An 18,796-nucleotide genomic window follows, 5' to 3' on the forward strand; every position below is an offset into this window, starting at 1 on the left:
ATCTCTATACTAGCTAAATCCAGTACAAATAAATCAACCAGAATTCCTGAGTATCTAGTCTGTATAGGCCCTGTGCATAGTACATTGGTGTTTTAAGACATGGTTCCTGCCTTCACAGAATTTACAATCTAGTTGGAACTATAAGTAGCCATGCAAATGACAAATATTTCAAAAACACCTTTACTACAACCTTATAATAAGAAAAGGTATGTGATCATTTTGTTTCAAAAGAAAAGGGTACATGATTATTTTGATAAAGGAAGTCAACACTTGCTAGAAGAATTCAGAGAAGAGGTGGAGGCCAGGCACAGTGGCTCATGCCTGTAATCCCAGCACTTTGGGAGGCTGAGGTGGGCAGATCACCTGAGGTCAGAAGTTCAAGACCAGCCTGGCAAAACCCCATCTCTACAAAAAATACAAAAATTAGCCAGGCATGGTGGCATGTGCCTGTAATCCCAGGTGCTCAGGAGGCTGAGGCAGGAGAATCACTTTAACCCAGGAGGCAGAGGTTGCAGTGAGCCTAGATCAAGCCACTGCACTCCAGCCTGGGCAAAAAAAAAAAAAAAAAAAAAAGTGGACTGCTTGAGAGAGAAGCTGGCAAGGTGGAGCGTGACATTATAGGTAGGGCTGGAACACCTTCTTGGAGAATTTCAAAAAGCAGGAAGGAAGGCAGTCTTGTTAAATCAAACTGCAGGTACTAATGCAGGTACTAATACTTGCAGTGGAAAAGTGCAAGGTGTATTTGTCAGTGTATTCTCCATTGATGAGAATGGAGAAAATCAATAGGACAAAGTGACTGATTAGATATGAAGTGAAAGAGACATGAGAAGTCTGTGTGTCTCCAGCCAGGAGGATGGTGATCATTAACAGAGAAAGAAAAGGTAGCAGCATGTGAACTGTTCAATATTGAACACATGGATCTTGAGCTGGAAGTGAAGTACCCAGCAAACTGTTGAAAATTCAGGTCAGGAGCCAAGGGGAAGAGTCAAGGTTAGAGGTATGCTTTGAAAATGTTCTGTGCAAAAGAGGTTGGATGAAGCCAGAGCAGCAGGCCGAGGACCAGACCTTGGGGAATGCCTGCAATGTCTAGTAGGAGAAATAAAAAAAAAACGCAGTCGCGACTGGGCAGAGTGGCTCATGCCTGTAATCCCAGACTTTGGGAGGCTGAGGCGGGTGGATCACTGGAGGTCAGGAGTTCGAGACCAGCCTGGCCAACATGGTGAAACCCCATCTCTACTAAAAATACAAAAATTAGCCGGGTGCAGTGCCAGCCATCTGTAATCCCAGCTACTAGGGAAGCTGAGGCAGGAGAATCGCTTGAATCCGGGAGGCAGAGGTTGCAATGAGCTGAGATCGCACCCCTGCACTCCAACCTGGGTGACAGAGCGAGACTCTGTCTCAAAAAAAAGACGCACTAACTGATTGCTAAGCAGGATGTAGCAAGTGCCACAGGAATTGCACAAGTGTGATATGCAATTTAGAGAGTGGAGAGGGATGTACACCAGCAGAGGGGAAATGCTGTCTTTCAAGAGAGGAATGAGTGATAATGAGCAGGACCTGCTCGCAGCAGGATCAGGCAGCTTTTGCAAATCATTGAATGAGATGGATGGTTCTGCTGGACTGTCACCTGCTAACAACAGAAACACCAGAGAAGACTGATTAAACTTATTTGAAAAACAGGCATAGCCAGCTTTGTTTGGGGCTGATTTACCCTTTCTGACTCTCTGTGTTGATCTTCTTTATGAATTAATTAGCAAGTTTCTGCTTCACCTTTATTCATTTTGATAAATTCAGAAAGTGCAAATTGAAGGAATATTTGATCAGGATAAAACCAATACACATAAGGCATCCAGATAAAGGAACAATGGCTAAATCCAGTTTCAGTTTCTTTGCAGTAAGTGTACACCTCAAGTGCTATACCAATTATATATACAGTGCACTATTGTGCTGCTTCCTTCAGCAGAGACACATTTACACATTCATATTAATTAGCTTTTGTGGTTATAGATGATGCTGTAGTAAGATTATTAAGAAATTACAATTCATCCTAACAACAGGGAGAACTACTTAGAGTTTCTAGCAATATAAATAATAGGCATCAGTTTTTGTTTTTGTTTTTTTCAGTAGTGTGTGAAGAATGGAGAAGCATAAAGTGAAAAGAAAAAGTCACCTTAGTGTTTTGGGTTTTTTTTTAAGTTTATAAAAAGAAGCCATACTCTGTCAGCTAACTGCTTGCCAATTGCTTTAGGGCGTTTCCACCTAATTCTAAGGTTAGCTGAAAGCAGTGTGTCTATAATTCTTTAGTCACCAGACACACCTTTATTAGCCATTCTGGTCTACATCTGCCCCACATGCTCTGCTCCAGGAACATTATATTCAGCAGCCAGCATTGTAACAAGCTTTGCAAGTGGCTCAGCATCCTAAAATTTGAGAGCCATGACCTAAGAAGTCTAGGAAGACCCAGGGTAGCTGGAAGGGAGTAAAGTGCCTCAGACCCAGCCTTCCCTCTTTCCTTTCTCCCTCTTTAAGCAGAGAACTCTACTTTATGGTTTTATTATATTGGACTTTCATTCATTCCATTCGTCAAGCCAAAAATCTAGGAGTCATCACTTACCTCCCATATCAATCCATCAACAAGTCCTGTCAATTGTCTCATCAATATCCACCCCTTTTTTTCCATCTGCACTGTGACAACATCCTGATCCATCTTGCCATCTCCTCTCTCCCACTAGTGCAAGTCTCCTAACTGATCTCCTTCCCTCTGCTCTTAGCCTCTTCCCATCTATTCTCCATAAAACATCAAGAATGTTTTTCTTAAAACTTAAATTAGCACGGTGGCTCACACCTGTAATCTCAGCACTTTGCGGGGCCGAGGCAGGAGGATCAAGAGGTCAGGTGTTCGTGACCAGCCTGGCCAACATGGTGAAACCCCGTCTCTACTAAAAATACAAAAATTAGACGGGTGTGGTGGCAGGTGCCTGTAATCCCAGCTACTTGGGAGGCTGAGACAGGAGAATCACTTGAATCCGGGAGGCGGAGGTTGCAGTGAGCTGAGATCGCGCCACTGCACTCCAGCCTGGGCTATACAGCAAGACTCCGTCTCAAAACAAACAAACAACAACAACAACATCAAAATTAGACCATATTGCTTTGCAGCTTAAAACTTTTCAGTAGTTCCCAAAGCACTAAAACAAAATCTAAACTCCTCTGACCATGGCCCATAATGTGTCATGGCCCCACCCCCGCCTTTCTCTACATCATCTCGTGCCACACTCCCATATCTCGCTATACTTAGCTATGTTGGCTTTTCTCTGGGCACCAAGCCAGGGATGCAGAAGGCTTTGTGCTTGCCTTTCCTCCTGCCTAGAAAGCTCTTCACTATTTTCGCAAAGTTCTCAGCTTAAATGTCACCTCCCCCAGGGGTCTAATGTTAATTGCATTTTGTTGTTGTTGTTGCTGTTTGCATTGATTTTGTGTGTCACTAAACTAAAAGCTTAGTGAAACCAAGAAGATGTCCATCATGTTTACCATTGTATCTCCAGCACCTTGTAAGTTACCTGGCATATATTAGGAATTCAATTATTGGAGGAATGAATAAAAGGATCCAAAGTTTTCAAGGTGTGGAAGTCCATGATGTAATCAAGTTAGAAAGGTCCATTTTGGATGGAGTGAGGGTGTGTATTCTGGAATTAAACTCTGTTCCAGAGTTATACTGGTGACCGGTGATCAAAAATCCCCAAGTTCAGCCTGGCGTGGTGGCTCACGCTTGTAATCCTAACAATTTGGGAGGCCAAGGAAGGCAGATCACTTGAGGTCAGGAGTTCGAGACCAGCCTGGCCAACATGGTGAAACCCTATCTTTACTAAAAATACTAAAAATTAGCTAGGTAGGATGGTGCATGTTTGTAGTCCCAGCTACTTGGGAGGCTGAGGCATGAGAATTGCTTGAACTTGGGAGGGGGAGGTTGCAGTGAGCTGAGATCACACTACTGCACTCCAGCCTGGGCAATAGAGTGAGACCCTGTCTCTAAATAAATAAATAAATAAAAAGTCCCAAGTTCATTGTTCTTCCAACCCAGTGCTGATGGAGCACATTGTTGTTGGGAAACTTCCATAAAGCTGATATAGTTTGGCTCTGTGTCCCCACCCAAATCTCATCTTGAATTGTACTCCCATAATTCCCATGTGTTGTGGGAGGACCCAGTGGAAGATCATTTGAATCATGGGGGTGTTTTCCCCCATAATGTTCTCATAGTAGTGAATAAGTCTTAAGAGATCTGATGGTTTTATCAGGGGTTTCTGCTTTTGCATCTTCTTCATTTTCTCTGGCCACCACCATGTAAGAAGTGCCTTTTGCCTTCTGCCATGATTCTGAGGCATCCTCAGCCATGTGGAACTGTAAGTCCAATTAAACTTCTTTTTCTTCTCAGTCTCAGGTATGTCTTTATCAGCAGCATGAAAACAAACTAATACAAAAGCTAAAAGGTTGTTTTGCCCTTTTGAAGAGAGATCTATTTATTTATTTATTTTTAATTTTTTGAGACAGAGTCTCGCCCTGTCGTCCAGGCTGGAGCGCAGTGGTGTGATCTCAGCTCACTGCAACCTCCACTTCCCAGGTTCAAGTGATTCTCCTGCCTCAGCCTCCTGAGTAGCTAGGACTACAGGTGCGTGCCACTACACCTGGCTAATTTTTGTATTTTTAGTAGAGACAGGGTTTCACCATATTGGCCGGGCTGGTCTTGAACTCCTGACCTTTTGATCTTCCCACCTTGGCCTCCCAAAGTCCTGGGATTACAGGCGTGAGCCACTCACGCCTGGCCAAAGAGAGATGTATTAATGTTGATTTGTAAGTACAAAGATATCACAAGAAACAGAAAACAGATTATAAAGCATGTGTTATTAATACTTATTATAGTTATATTAAAGCTTAAATAAATCCCATGTAATCTCATTTAAAAATTATAGGCTTCTGGCCAAGAACATTATGACAATCTATTTTGGAGTTAGGCATCATCTGGAGAGAATCTAGGGTGGTAGCACTGAATTAGATTTGGCTGCTTGCTGACTATGGCACAACAGCACATTGCATTTCTCCATGAATTGAGGTGGACGTGTGAGAGGGGGAAACGTATGGTACTAGGAGGGGTGTGAGTGATTGTGGATGATGAGAATTAGCTCTAAGGTCCCTTCCAATTGCTTCTGGCTCTTCAATTCCAGCTAAGCCAATTCAACTCAACTAAACAGTTATTGAGAGCCTTCTGAGTGCCAGGAAGTAAGTTGGGAGTATGATAATGAACAAAATGGATAATCGGCCCTGCCCTAACAGAATCTGGAGAGAGTAAGTGAGATGCGAACTAAGACTTAGCAAAACCAGATGGTGACATCCGCACTTGGCTTTCCTCTCGGAGTGTCAGTTTTACACCGGAATTAGCCACGTGTAATGAACAATCAAAGAAATGGTACTTTCTTAAATGCTACCAAAATGTTTTTATTCCCAAGTTCCAAAAAATGACCATTGAAATGCATTGGACTCAGAATTTGAAGCCCCAGCTGAATTCTCTTGAATGTACCTCCGTCCCTCTGTCCACTTTGGGAGGCTGAGGTGGGTGGATCACAAGGTCAGGAGTTTGAGACCAGCCTGGCCAATAGGGTGAAACCCCGTCTCTACTCCTTCACCACACCCGCATGCCTATTATGTTTTCTGTGATATTGAATCATTTTTTCTTAATTTAATAGTAAAATCCGTATGCATATCTTTTATTAGATTTGGGAAATAACAGAATGTCTGACTTGCTCAGAATTTCTTGTGGTGTTACCCTGCAGCTGTTTTCCAGTAGACTGTTGTGTTTATAGTTACTTATTCACCTTTGATAGCACCATCTTGTAATCCATTACAGTCAGAGTGGTACATTTTTTGTCTTCTCATTAGCCCCTCTCTGACAATCAACATTTTGCACATTAGGTACTACACTCTTTGTTCATATAAATCACAGGCTATTAAATCATCTCAGCACAAATATTGCCAACTAGCATGACTCATTTCAATACTAAATTGTTTAAAGTTGACAGTAGTTGTCTTAATAGTTCGCAGGCATTTTCTCCACATTTTGTAGCTACTTGATGACTCAATGAAAAGAATGCAGACTTTGTGACAATATTGGACAAGTTGTTAGCTGCTCTGAGTCATTACCTTATCTGTAAAATTAGGCGATTGCATTAGGTTAGGGAGTGAACTGCTCAACAATGGGACAAATTTAATTCTCAGATCAGCTTGGATTGGCCCTCACAGCACTTTGAAAATTATCACAAATTGGCCAGGTGCGGTGGCTCACGCCTGTAATCTCAGCACTTTGGGTGGACCAGGAGGTCAGGAGTTCAAGACCAGCCTGGCCAACACAGTGAAACCCTGTCTCTACTAAAAATACAAAACAATTAGCCAGGCGTGGTGGCAGGTGCCTGTAATCGCAGCTACTTGGGAGGCTGAGGCAGAGAATAGCTTGAACCCGGGAGGCAGAAGTTGCAGTGAGTCAAGATCATGCCACTGCACTCCAGCCTGGGCAACAGAGCGAGACTCCATCTCAAAAAGAAAGAAAGAAAGAGAGAAAGAAAGAGAGAAAGGAAGAAAGAAAGAAAGAAAGAAAGAAAGAAAGAAAGAAAGAAAGAAAGAAAGAAAGAAAGAAAGAAAGAAGGAAGGAAGGAAGGAAGGAAGGAAGGAAGGAAGGAAGGAAGGAAAGAAAGAAAGAAAATGGGAAAGTTCTCAAAAAACTCCAGATTTCTGGCTTCTCTTGAAAAATCAACACCTGACTTCCCTAGAAAAATCTGGCCTCAGAGAGTGCCTGCCTCAGTTGCACATTCTTCTCACATTCACAAATGAGAAGCCAGGAAGGCATAACTAACCCACCTCAATTCCCTTCTGATAGCACCTGAAGACCCTGCTTCTGGTGAAATCTACCAGGAGATTTAAAGGAACCAGATCTAGAGAGGGAAGCTCTTTTAATGGCCGAGAAAACCTTTTGAGGAAACAGGACAGGAGACCTCATCTACATCATCACTTTAGTTGTTGATCATGTTATTATCTTGTGTTGTTTAATATTTATCACAATTTGGGTTGAACAGGTTTGTTTTTTAAAATATTTGAGGTTGTGGGGAGATGGAGGACAAAGTGTTTGCTTTGCCACCTCTGAATCCACCTTTCCCAGAGCTGCTCTTTCTGTTTGTTGACTTTTAGATGACATATGTATGTGTGTGTTGTGGGGAAACGGTCTTACTTTTGGTTGTTAGAGAGAGAGAAAGAAGAAAACTGTAGCCTGAGCTGATGAGATGGGAGCAACCTTTACATTGGATACCTGCTCTTTGCTCAACAGCAGGCCCCAGCTGGCCTACTTTACTTATTTATGTTAGCTATCTGGCCCCTCTAGCCCTCTAGCCATCTGAATTTCCACTAGATAATGTCTAAGTCCCCTTTCATCTTCATAAAGCTAAACATTTCTAAGATAATATTCCAAGGGTGTTGAGGCTCCGCAAGCAGGTATTTTCCTACCCCTGTCCTGGCAGAATATCCCCCAGTAGAAACACTGGTTGTCCATACCTAACCCTTGTCTGTCTTCCTCACTTAAATTTCTAGCACCCAGATAAGCCCCTAGCACCTAGAAAGCATCCAGTAAATATTTGTAGAATGAAGTCTTCAGGATTAGCAATTACCTTTGGAAAGGGCCCATCGTGATTAACAAAGCAAATTAGTATTTAAGAGGACACAATATCTTCTTTTTTTTTTCAAGATAGTGGATCTTGCTATATTGCTGAGGCTGAACTCAAATTCTTGGGCTCAAGCAATCCTCCTGCTACTCAACCTGTTGAGTAGCAGGCACTACAGGCACGCAGGCACAGTTACCTACAATATAATTTTGTCTTATGTTACCCAATAGACAGGGATAATGAGCTTAAATTGCATTGGTTTAAATGTTTTGTTGTTTAAACTTTCTATTAACACGTGCTGGGTACAAACACAGTTAGGCTTTTGGGTTTCATGTTTATTTCTACAGAAAGGATAATATATATATGTGTATATATACGTATATATACGTATATACGTATATATATGTATATATGTGTATATATACGTATGTATGTATATACGTATATATACATATACGTATATGTATATGTATATATGTATATATACACATATATACATATATATACAGATATGTATATATACACATATATACATATATATACAGATATGTATATATACACATATATACGTATATACACACATATATACATATATATATATATATATATATTCCATGCAGTAGGGAAGAAGAAAGAGTAAGACTGAGCCTGCTTTCCTAAGACTACATTTAAATAATGCACTTCCAGAAAAATCAAGTTTCTGAATTGAACCAGTGTGAGGACAGGTGGGAGAACACTACTCCCTTGTGTTTACTATTGGAACTTACATTACCTCTGCATGCTGATGATCTGTGATGCGGTCACGGCTTACAGCGCACCCTGCACTCTGGTATGGGCTAGTGAGGCAACAACGAGCAAAACAGGCAGGGCTCCTGCAATCTCAGGAGATAAAACAGCCATCAGTTAAATTATCAAACACAGAATTTCAAGCTGCAGTAACTTGGAGGAAAAAATTTAGTGCTTTGAAAATTATTCAGCTTTATCTCTGGCCTCCCAAGATGGTCAGCATCACATAGATCAATGTATTGACAGCTTTCTACCCAGGCACTGTGCTAAGCACTTTTTATGCTTCCTCGCTTTCAATTCATGCTCTCAAAAGCTATGGGTGGGTACTCCATTGATAAATAATTTGCAGAAGATCACACAGCTAGTAGGTGAGGGAACTGTGTGACTCAACCACTCCTGACCACTTTACTAACTGAAACAAAAAGGGGGGAAGAAAACGACTGCAATATTATTATACATATCTCTATCTCTATCTATCAATCTATCTCTCTATCTCTCTGTCTGTTTGTCTATCTAGGTTATCCACGGTTCCTAGCTCATGACTCCCATAGCCCTTGTTACAATGTTAGGGTGCTTTAGGCTTCAGAAGCAGGCCTCAGAAAACAGAATTTCTTTTTTTCTCTCTTACCTTTTCTGCCCTCCTTTCACCTATTTCTTTCTCTCCCCAAGGCAGGAACTTTTTCCTGGTTTCTGGAGCTGGTTTCTGACCTACCTTGTCTGATCATAGGTCAGAACACCTCCATTTCAGAAGGGTTCCTGCCCCATACCATGGAGGAAGGCATGGTGCACAGAGAGACCAAGAAGAATCTGAACAGACAGTCCCTGCTGGGTTACCCCACTCAGTCTGTTAGTATTAGATCATACCCTTTGTCCAATCGCATTTTAACAGGTTGTCCATTTTCAGTCATGCCTATCCAATGAGGTCTCCATAAAGACCCAAGAGGACAGGGTTTGGAGAGCTTCCAGGGAGCTGAACAAATAGAAGTTCCTGACTGGTGGTTTATCAAGGCTGCCTCTCTTCTCCCATACCTTGCCTTATGCATCTCTTCATCTGAATCCTTCATATCCTTTATACTAAACCTGCAAATGTAAGTAAGTCTTTTCCTGCATTTTGTGAGCCACTCTAGCAAATTAACTTAACTCAACGAGAGGTTTCATAGAAACCCCAACTTGAAGCTGATTGGTCAGAAGTTCTGGAGGCTGGAACTTTCAACTGGTGGGAGGAGGGGATGGTCTTGGGGATTGAGCCCTCAATCTGTGGGATCTGATGTTATCTCCAGGTGGATACTGTCAGAACTGAATTGGAAGATACCCAGCTGATGTCCACTGCAGAAATGATTGCTTCTTGGTGTGTGGGAAGAAACTCACACATATTTGGTCACAGACGTCTTCTGTGATGATGTTGTGAGTGAGAGAATAGAAAAAAAGGCTGAGGTGGGTTTTCCCAAAAATAACAACCTACAATACTATAGCAGTGTTTCTTAAATATGAGGAATGTGTGAATAAAAAATAAAGAATTTATTTTAGATTTCGCTATCATCACCTCCTACGGTCAACTTAAATTATTTTGATCATAATGCTTGCTGCTTAAGCATGTATAAGAAGGTTAGGTATGAACTCTGAATGTTTTTAGCTCTTACAACAGCAACAAAAAGATAGAAGTTAAATATGAATAGAACTATCATTCAACAAAATGTTTCATAATAAATTCAAATTAACAGCAATGACGTGATATACTCATTTAAAAATAAGTCTATATGAGTTGCCCACTGTATGTTAGGCCCTGTTCCCATCAAGAGTATGCAATGGCAGAGACAGACAACAAGTAAATAAGGAGTGAAATACACTATGTGTCAGTTGGAGATAAGTGCTATGGGGAAACACAGCAGGGACTGGGAGAGGGACAAGGCAGTGTGATTAAGAGTGTGGTCCGGGGCCGGGCGCAGTGGCTCACCTCTGTAACCCCAGCGCTTCGGGAGGCCAAGGCAGGCAGATTACCTGAGGCCAGGAGTTCGAGACCAGCCTGGAAAACATGGTGAAACCCCATCTCTACTAAAAATACAAAAATTAGCTGGGTGTGGTGGCACATGCCTGTAGTCCCATCTACTCGGGAGGCTGAGGCAGGAGACTCGCTTGAACTAGGGAGGTGGAGGTTGCAGTGAGCTGAGATCATACCACTGCACTCCAGCCTGGGTGACAGGGCGTGACTCCACCTCAAAAAAAAAAAAAAAAAGAATGTAGTCCACGGCCAGGCACAGTGGCTCATGCCTGTAATCCCAGCACTTTGGGAGGCTGAGGCAAGCGGATCACTTGAGGTCAGGAGTTTGAAACCAGTCTGGCCAACATGGTGAAACCTCATCTCTACGAAAAATCCAAAAATTAGCTGGGCATGGTGGCAGGCGCCTGTAATCCCAGCTACTCAGGAGGCTGGGCAGGAGAATCGCTTGAATTTTGGAGGCAGAGGTTGCAGTGAGCTGAGATTGTGCCACTGCACTCCAGCCTGGGCGACAGAGCGAGACTCTGTCTCAAAAAAAAAAAAAAAATAGTGTGTGGTCCGGGTCGTGGCATTCACGCAGCAACCTGAAGGAGGCAGGGGAGTGTGGCTGTGGTCATCTGGAGGGAAAGCACGGAAAAGGAGAAAGGGGCAAAATGAAGGCACCCTGAGTTTGGAGTGTGCTTGGTATACTTGAGGAAACACAAGGAGGCTGATGCGACTGGAACAGATGAACTAGGGCAGAAGTTCAAATTCTACTCAAAAAAAGAAGTGGAATTAGAGCAAGGGCAACAGCTAACCCAGATAATGATGTCTGCTGAAACTATCTCTTGGGGTCGTCTCCTACAGCTGCCCAAGGCAATGTTACTCCCTATTACACCGCTCAGTTGCGGTGTCCTTTATCTCGTGTGGTGAAAATTAGCGACGTGGACACACGTGGAGTGGATTAAGGGGTAGAAAGTTTAATAGGCAAGAAAGGAGAGAATAGCTCCCCGTACAGAGGGAGGAGGGCTCTGAACCGAAAACCCGCGTGCAGAGGAAAGCAGTGGTTTATATTGGGAGGCTGGAGGAGGTGGTGTCTAATTAGCATAGGGCACAGGGGATTGGTTTAACCACGTGTGTCATTCAGGTAGCCCCCCCAAAAAAACTGGCCCTCCCACCCTAGCCTTTTATTATGCAAATGCGGCTACCTGGCTGGTCGCCATGACACCTGTACACGTGGCAACAAAGAAAAAGTAGCAGGAACCGCCATATTGGCTGGACCTGACTCTTAACCATCTGCATTTGCATATCAATACTTGCAGGTCTGGTTTTTCAGGCTGCTTTCTGTTAGATAATAAATATTTGGGGGACCGCTTTTTTATTAAACGAAAAAGACTTACTGAGGACTCTTTTACCCTCTCTAGCTGCCTAAAATAATTTCTTAATAACTCCTGTAATACCTACATATAGAACCTTTTACAGTTCTCCAAATAGATTGTGTTCTTCACCCTTCCACGCCATCTCTGTCTACCTAAGCGGACTCCTTTTATACTTCAAGTCAAGCTTAATTATGGCCTTCTCTGGAAAACTGCCCCCCATCCTGATTAGACAAGCATGCCCTCGTAGCACCTTGTCACCCTATGCACAACCCTATCCTAGTGTCTATTGCATTGCATTGTAGCTGGTGCTTTACTTCTCTACCTTGCCCACCAGACAGCAAGCCTCTTGAGGACAAGAAAGCTTTTTCTTTCTGTCTCGGTATCCATAGTACTTAAATACTTATATAGACACAACAGATAATTAGGAAATGTTTACTGAATGAATAAATAGCATTGGCAATCACTCATAAAAACGCCAAGTCAGATTTTAGTACCCCCTTAGCATACTTGCACATGATACCTACTAGCAATCCTGAAGGGTCACTAGATGCCAGGCAATGCACTGAATTAGGCGGTTGTTGGTTACTATTCATTATCTTCCAACAACCCTACAAATTAGATGTTATTATTCCCATCTTTAAATGTAAGAAAAATAAAATTGGGCAGGTTAAATAGCATATGTCACCACCTAGACCCAGGATTTTAATTTAGTCTCTCTAAATCCCAAACTACACCAAGCTGTAAGTCAGAAAAATGTAAATGAGGAACAGCTTATGGTACACTTAAAAAAATTATTTGATAAAAATCTGTTAGAGATTTACAGAAAACTTTTCACACTGTATTTACATTGCTTGACTTCATTATGGATTTTCAAGGAAGAATGATTGAAGGCCAACTCAATCATTCAGCCACAGTGAAGAGTTTGGCATAATTTGAAACAAAGGAATACATATGGGAAGCATCTAGAACTGAGTGAAATGGTGGCAAAGAAGACATGGACCTATACAAATATTACTAATTGGGAAAACACTTATAAACCACTGTAGGGTTTCTACATTGTTGAATGCTATCCCAATTTTTTAATACATGACATAGAACAATATTTACATACATGTACACTGAAAATAGATCCAAAGGGTATAAAACAAAATGTTTTGGTTATTTCTGAGTTATATAATTTTTTTTTCTGTGCTTGTCCACATTTACTAAAATCTCCACAATTAAAAAAAAAAAAATCCATGATGAGCTGGGAGTCGTGGCGCACACCTGTGGTCCCAGCTACTTGAGAGGCTGAGGAAAGATGATCACTTTGGCCCGGGAATTTGAGGCCAGCCTGGGCAATATAGCGAGACCCCATCTTTAAAAATTAAAAAAGTAAAAAAATAAAAAGTTTGTAATAAAACTTATAACAAGAAAATGAACCTAGTTAAAAAATAAAAAGAAGATCTGAATAGACACTTCACCAAAAATGATATACAGATAGCAAATAAGGCATTGAAAAGACGCTTGATATCACATGTTGTTAGGGAATTGCATATTAAAACAATGAGATACCACTACATACCTATTAGAATGGCTAAAATCCAAAACTCTAACAGCATCAAATACTGACAAATGTGAAGTAATAGCTCTCATTCATTGCAAAGTGCAAAATCGTACAGCCACTTTGGAAGATAGCTTGTCAGTTTCTTACAAAACTAAACATACTCTTACCATATAATCCAGCAGTTGCACCCCCTGGTATTTACTCAAATTAATCAAAAATTTATGTCCACACAAAATCCTGCACATGGATGTTTATAGCAACTTTACTCATAATTGCCCAAACCTGGAAGCAACCAAGATGTCCTTCAATAGGTGACTGGATAAATTGTGGTACATCAAGACAATGAAATATTATTCAACACTAAGAATAAATAAATTGTCAAGTCATGAAAAGACATGGAGGAAACTCGATGCACATTACTAAGCAAAAGAAGTCAATCAGGGGAGGCCCAGGTGGGCGGATCATGAGGTCAAGAGATTGAGACCATCCTGACCAACATGGCGAAACCCCCTCACTACTAAAAATACAAAACTTAGCTGGGCATGGTGGTGTGTGCCTGTGGTCCCAGCTACTCAGGAGGCTGAGGCAAGAGAATTGCTTGAAACCGGGAGGCAGAGGTTGCAGTGAGCCAAGATTGCGCCACTGCACTCCAGCCTGGCGAGAGTGCGAGACTCCAACTCAAAAAAAAAAAAAAAGTCAATCGGAAAAGACTACATACTGTGTGATTCCAACTACATGATATTTTGGAAAAGGTGAAATTACAAAGAGAGGAAAAAGATTAGTGGTTGCCAGGGCTTAAGGGGAGGGAGGGATAAATAGGTGAAGCACAGGGCATTTTTAGGGCAAGGAAACTGTTCTGTATGATGCTCTAATGACAGATACATGACAGATACAGATACATTATATATTTGTCCAAACCTGTAGAACATACAACACCAAGAAGGAACTCTAATGTGGGTGGGTGGACTTTGGGTGATAATGATGTGTCAGTGTAGGCTCATCAATTGCAACAAATGTACTACTCAGGTGGGGAATCCTGGTGGTGGGGGAGGCTCTTGGGAGAAGGAATATGCAAGACTCTTTGTACTTTGCACTCAATTTTACTGTGGACCTAAAATGCTCTTTTAAAAAAAATCTATTAAGTGTGTTTTAAGTTCATGATGAAGAAGTCTGGTAGTTAAATCTTGCAGAATGCAATCCAAGAGCTCTCATGCTTGCTTGTATTCCTTACCATTCTGGGAACAGAAATATTCGTGATAACAATGTGCAGGTGACAGCAACTTCAAGACATGCAGGAGAGTATGCTTCAGGATTTCAGTATTTGGAAAGGACAAGTAAGTAATCCTCTTAGAGAAAAAGATTTAGAAAACTACCTCATCTGACTTCAGACTTCAGCATAAACTAGTAATCTTAACAAATCAGCTGGCTAGGATGGATGGAGAACAAAGATACATAGACATTTCCCATTATTTCTGTAAACCAGAAAGTGTCGGAGACAGGTCTCAATCAATTTAGAAAGATTATTTTGCTAAGGTTAAGGACGTGTGCCCTGGAAGCAGGTTTGTGCCTTTCTCCAAAGATGATTTTGAGGGCTTCAGTATTTAAAGGGGAAAGAGGAAGATATTTTTTAAAAGGTATGGGTAGGTAAAAGACAAATGGTTTTATTATTTTGAGTCTTTGATCAGCCTTTCACCAAATACACAATTTACATGTGAAAGAAGGGTAGAGGAATAGTCACTTAAGCCTTTTTCTAGCTCGGTGAAACTGCATTTTTACACCAGAGAAAGCCATCAGATATGCATTTGTCATTTGTCTCAGGTAAGCAGAGGACTTACTTACAGTTCTATCCTTTGTGAAGATAAGCTTTTGTGTTCTAGCCTTCACACCTGGGAAGATAAGCTATCAATTTACATTGTCAGGGTAACATTCAACAGAACCATTTTAGGATAAATGGGGGCCCATAAGGAATTTCCTAGTGGGCCAATTGTGAGGGAGGTGTGTAGCTTTTTAAAAATCTTTGAAGCTATCTTATTTAGGAATAAAATGGGAGGCAGTTTTGCCTGACACAGTTACCAGCTTGACTTTTCCCTTTGGCTAAGTGATTTTGGAGTTCCAAGATTTATTTTCATTTTAACAGTTCATAAGATCACCAAAAATGTTTTATTTAACATCAGAACGAAGATAGTGAATAAGAGTACAGAGTTAGAAGAAAGAATTCCACACATCCCTAAATTTGGACAGTTCTCAAAAGGTTTTAACTACTCATGATTCTCTGCAAGACCACTTGGTTACAGCATTCCTATTAGGGAGCTTTGAGCAGAGGACGGTCTTTCCTTCAAGGCCTCACCACCCTAAATCCTATGCCTTAAGACCATCAAAGGGTTGGAATGTGCAATTTTACCTTGTCTGTTATTGAGAACTTGTCTATCTGGGTAATATTAATAATACTTAATATTTTATGGAATATATACATTTGCCATATATTGTTCTATTTATTTTCCTTGCGGTCACCATTTAGTTTGCGTAACGACCCAGTGAGGTGAACATAACATTATCTCATTTCACAAGTAAGGAACCAAGGTCCAGAAAGATTACTGTGTTACTAGGTATCAGTTTGTAATCCAGAAGACAGTTTGACTACTGTGTCATGCTGTCTCTTAATGACAACAGCTAGCTCCAGGGCCTCCAGAAATCGTTCCACAGGTTGTTCATTGGGCAAGTTTGCCACCCAAGAGTGTGTGTGTGGACACACATCTAATCCCCACTCAGCTTGCCAAACTGCCAGCCTACAGGGCTGCATCTGCCTGGTCTTTACCTAATTAGCCCAAAAGTGCTGCAAGCCAGGTACTGAATTGACAACTTTGTGTGCATTATAACATTTCATCCAGGTGTCCCCATGTCTCCACCATCTTGCTTTCAAGGTCCCAGTACTTCCTACACAATGCAAAGAAATCTGTATTGCTTATATTTTGAGAAATTTACATCATTTGAATTATTTGTAAACCTCATTATGAATACCACCTCTTTGGTTTTATCTGTCAAAGAATGCCTACAGATGCTAATTTATTGGGCAACTTTAAAAATTGCCCAATTTTTAAATTTTTAAAAGTTTTAAATTTTTAATTTTCAAATTTAAATTTAAAATTAAAAATTTTTAATTTTCAAATTGAACTGATATAATTTCATAGTTTAGTTTGGTTAATTTCACTAACCAGTATGGGCAATGACCAGGAAATTCCCAGGAAAGTAATGCCATCTAGCGGTAAAATCAGGGCAGATGTAATATACCTGCAATAAATGACAAAATTACAGAACAATTACTCAGACATAAAAAGAAAGGCAACACTGACACCTGCTCAATGTGGATGAACCTTAAAAACATTGTTATAAGCAAAAGAAGCCAGACACAAAAAGTTACATAACATATGATTCCATTTACATGAAACATCCAGAATAGATAAATCCACCATGACAGAAAGCAGATTGGTGCTTGCCAGGGGCTGTGTGAAGGGGGAAATGTGGAGTCAATGCTAAAGGGCATGTTTTCTTTTGGGTGACAAAAAAGTTTTGAAAGTAGATGCTTTAAATGTTCTAGATGTTGTACGAGATTGTGAATGTACTAGATGCCACTGAATTGTTTGCTTTAAGCACAATAATTCTATAGGCACATTACTTTGTAATATTCATATTTACACAAAACATATAATAAACCATATTTGTCCTGCCGTATATTAACTAAGGCAATGTTCTAGGCACTACAAAAAAAAAGACAAAGCTGTAAAAATCAGTTTCTGTTTGTAAAATATGTAACTGAATGGCGAAAAGTTGTACATTTAAATAATAGTACTAGAAGGTAGAAGGTGGTAAGTGGCACAGAGGAGATAAAAGATAATTATTCTGGTCAACTGGAGATGGATGACAACACTTCACAGACGGGGTTCAGGAAGGGTGGTCACACAGGAAAGATTCCAGGAGAAGTGGTTTCTGATCTGGAGCTTAATGGTAAACAACACACCATGTGGAGAATCTCAGCTTAAATTTAAATGCCGAGGCATCAAGCCCAACAAACACAACAGTGTGCATCTTTCTGATGCCTGTTCTAGCAGTGAGATCCAGGCACCAGGCTGCCTGAGAGGCAGCACCCACCTCGAGGGCACTAGGCAAATCCCTGCAAGTGAATTCCCACCACGTTGCTTTGAGAGCTAGGGGTAATCTGTGGAGTCTTTCCATGCAGAAGAATTCAAAATGAATTGTGCAAGTCGGCGCCTAACTCCCTACTCCTTAAGTGTAAGCTGTGCGTAGTGACTTCCCTCCAAAGAACACAGTATGGAAAGAGGAGAAAAAATAGAAACTTTACTTTGGAGAAACTTGATAAATACTAACTCTGCCAGGTTGACAAGGTCAACATCATTAGTGATAAGTCAGCTTGATAGTTTGTACCCTTGACAAGTGACAAGAATGTCACTTCTGTGGTCTTCCTCCACAAAATTCATAAGTCTAACTTAATCATGAGAAAACATTAGACAAATCCCAACTGAGGGACATTCTACTAAATGCTTGCTCAGTACTTCTCAAAACTGTCAAAGTCATCAAAAACAAGAAAAGTCTGAGAAACTCTCACAGCCAAGAGGTGTCTAAGAAGACACGATAATTAAATGTACTGTGGTTTCCTGGATGAGATTTTGGAACAGAAAGAGGACATTAGGTAAAACCTACTGAAATTTGAATAAAGAATTCACTTTAGTTAATAATAATGTATTAAATTTTTCCATTAATTGCAACAAATATACCATGCTAATGTAAGATGGTCGAAGGAACTGGTGCAGCTTTTAAGGAACTCTACTATCTTCACATTTCTTTTCTAAATCTAAAACCGTTTTAAATAAACAATATTTCAAAAAATATATAAACACAAAATAAAAGCATAGATTTGTGTTAAATTCCATGCATTTAAAGAAATATAATTAACATAAAGAACACATATACCTAAGCCCATCTTAATTTCTTGGCATATAAAACCACTTTGTATTCACCTCCTAACCCTTTGTCCTCTCATAACCTTATCTTGAACTTCATATGCATTAATCCTATGTATATTATATATCCTATGTGTATTATATGTTTCCAATATGTAAGTATGTATCCATAACCATTTTATAAAGTATTACATATTTCCATGAATACCTATAACCGCAAGTGAATAGAAAAAATTTGGAAACATATTTGTTACACTGACAGCAGTGCTTACTTCAGGGAAGATGGAGAGTAGAATGAGTAAAGTGGAACTCTCCTTTGACATCTTATTACTGATATGTTTCAAGGACATTGCGTTATTTTACAACGTTTACATCGGCAAAACATAAATATAAAGAAACGTGGTTGGGTCACATCATCCTTCTGCTCCAAAAACCTTTTA

The 18,796-nt window shown here is 40.6% G+C and overlaps 1 protein-coding gene across 3 annotated transcripts in view, besides 1 other annotated feature; it reads right to left on the reverse strand.

Annotated features, from left to right (window-relative positions):
- SLC16A12 (solute carrier family 16 member 12) overlaps positions 1 to 9,289 on the reverse strand; it is a 126,406-nt gene extending 117,117 nt beyond the window's left edge. The window contains exons 1-2 of one of the 3 annotated variants that reach the window (XM_047425223.1): positions 9,193 to 9,289; positions 8,467 to 8,566 (exon numbers count right to left, since the gene is read on the reverse strand). The gene's annotated coding sequence lies outside the window, so the exon portion shown is untranslated. Of the gene's footprint in view, positions 1 to 8,466; positions 8,574 to 9,108 lie in introns of all 3 variants that reach the window. The other 2 variants (XM_047425221.1, XM_047425222.1) reach the window with 2 other exon arrangements.
- Positions 11,454 to 11,978: an enhancer, noted in NCBI's record as "OCT4 hESC enhancer chr10:91318626-91319150 (GRCh37/hg19 assembly coordinates)". NCBI's record gives its function as "activates a minimal SCP1, AML or CMV promoter by ChIP-STARR-seq in primed H9 embryonic stem cells {active_cell/tissue: H9 hESC(primed)}" and the evidence as "EXISTENCE:reporter gene assay evidence [ECO:0000049][PMID:30033119]".

Source organism: Homo sapiens, chromosome 10 (assembly GCF_000001405.40).
Source record: "Homo sapiens chromosome 10, GRCh38.p14 Primary Assembly".
Lineage (NCBI taxonomy): Eukaryota > Metazoa > Chordata > Mammalia > Primates > Hominidae > Homo > Homo sapiens.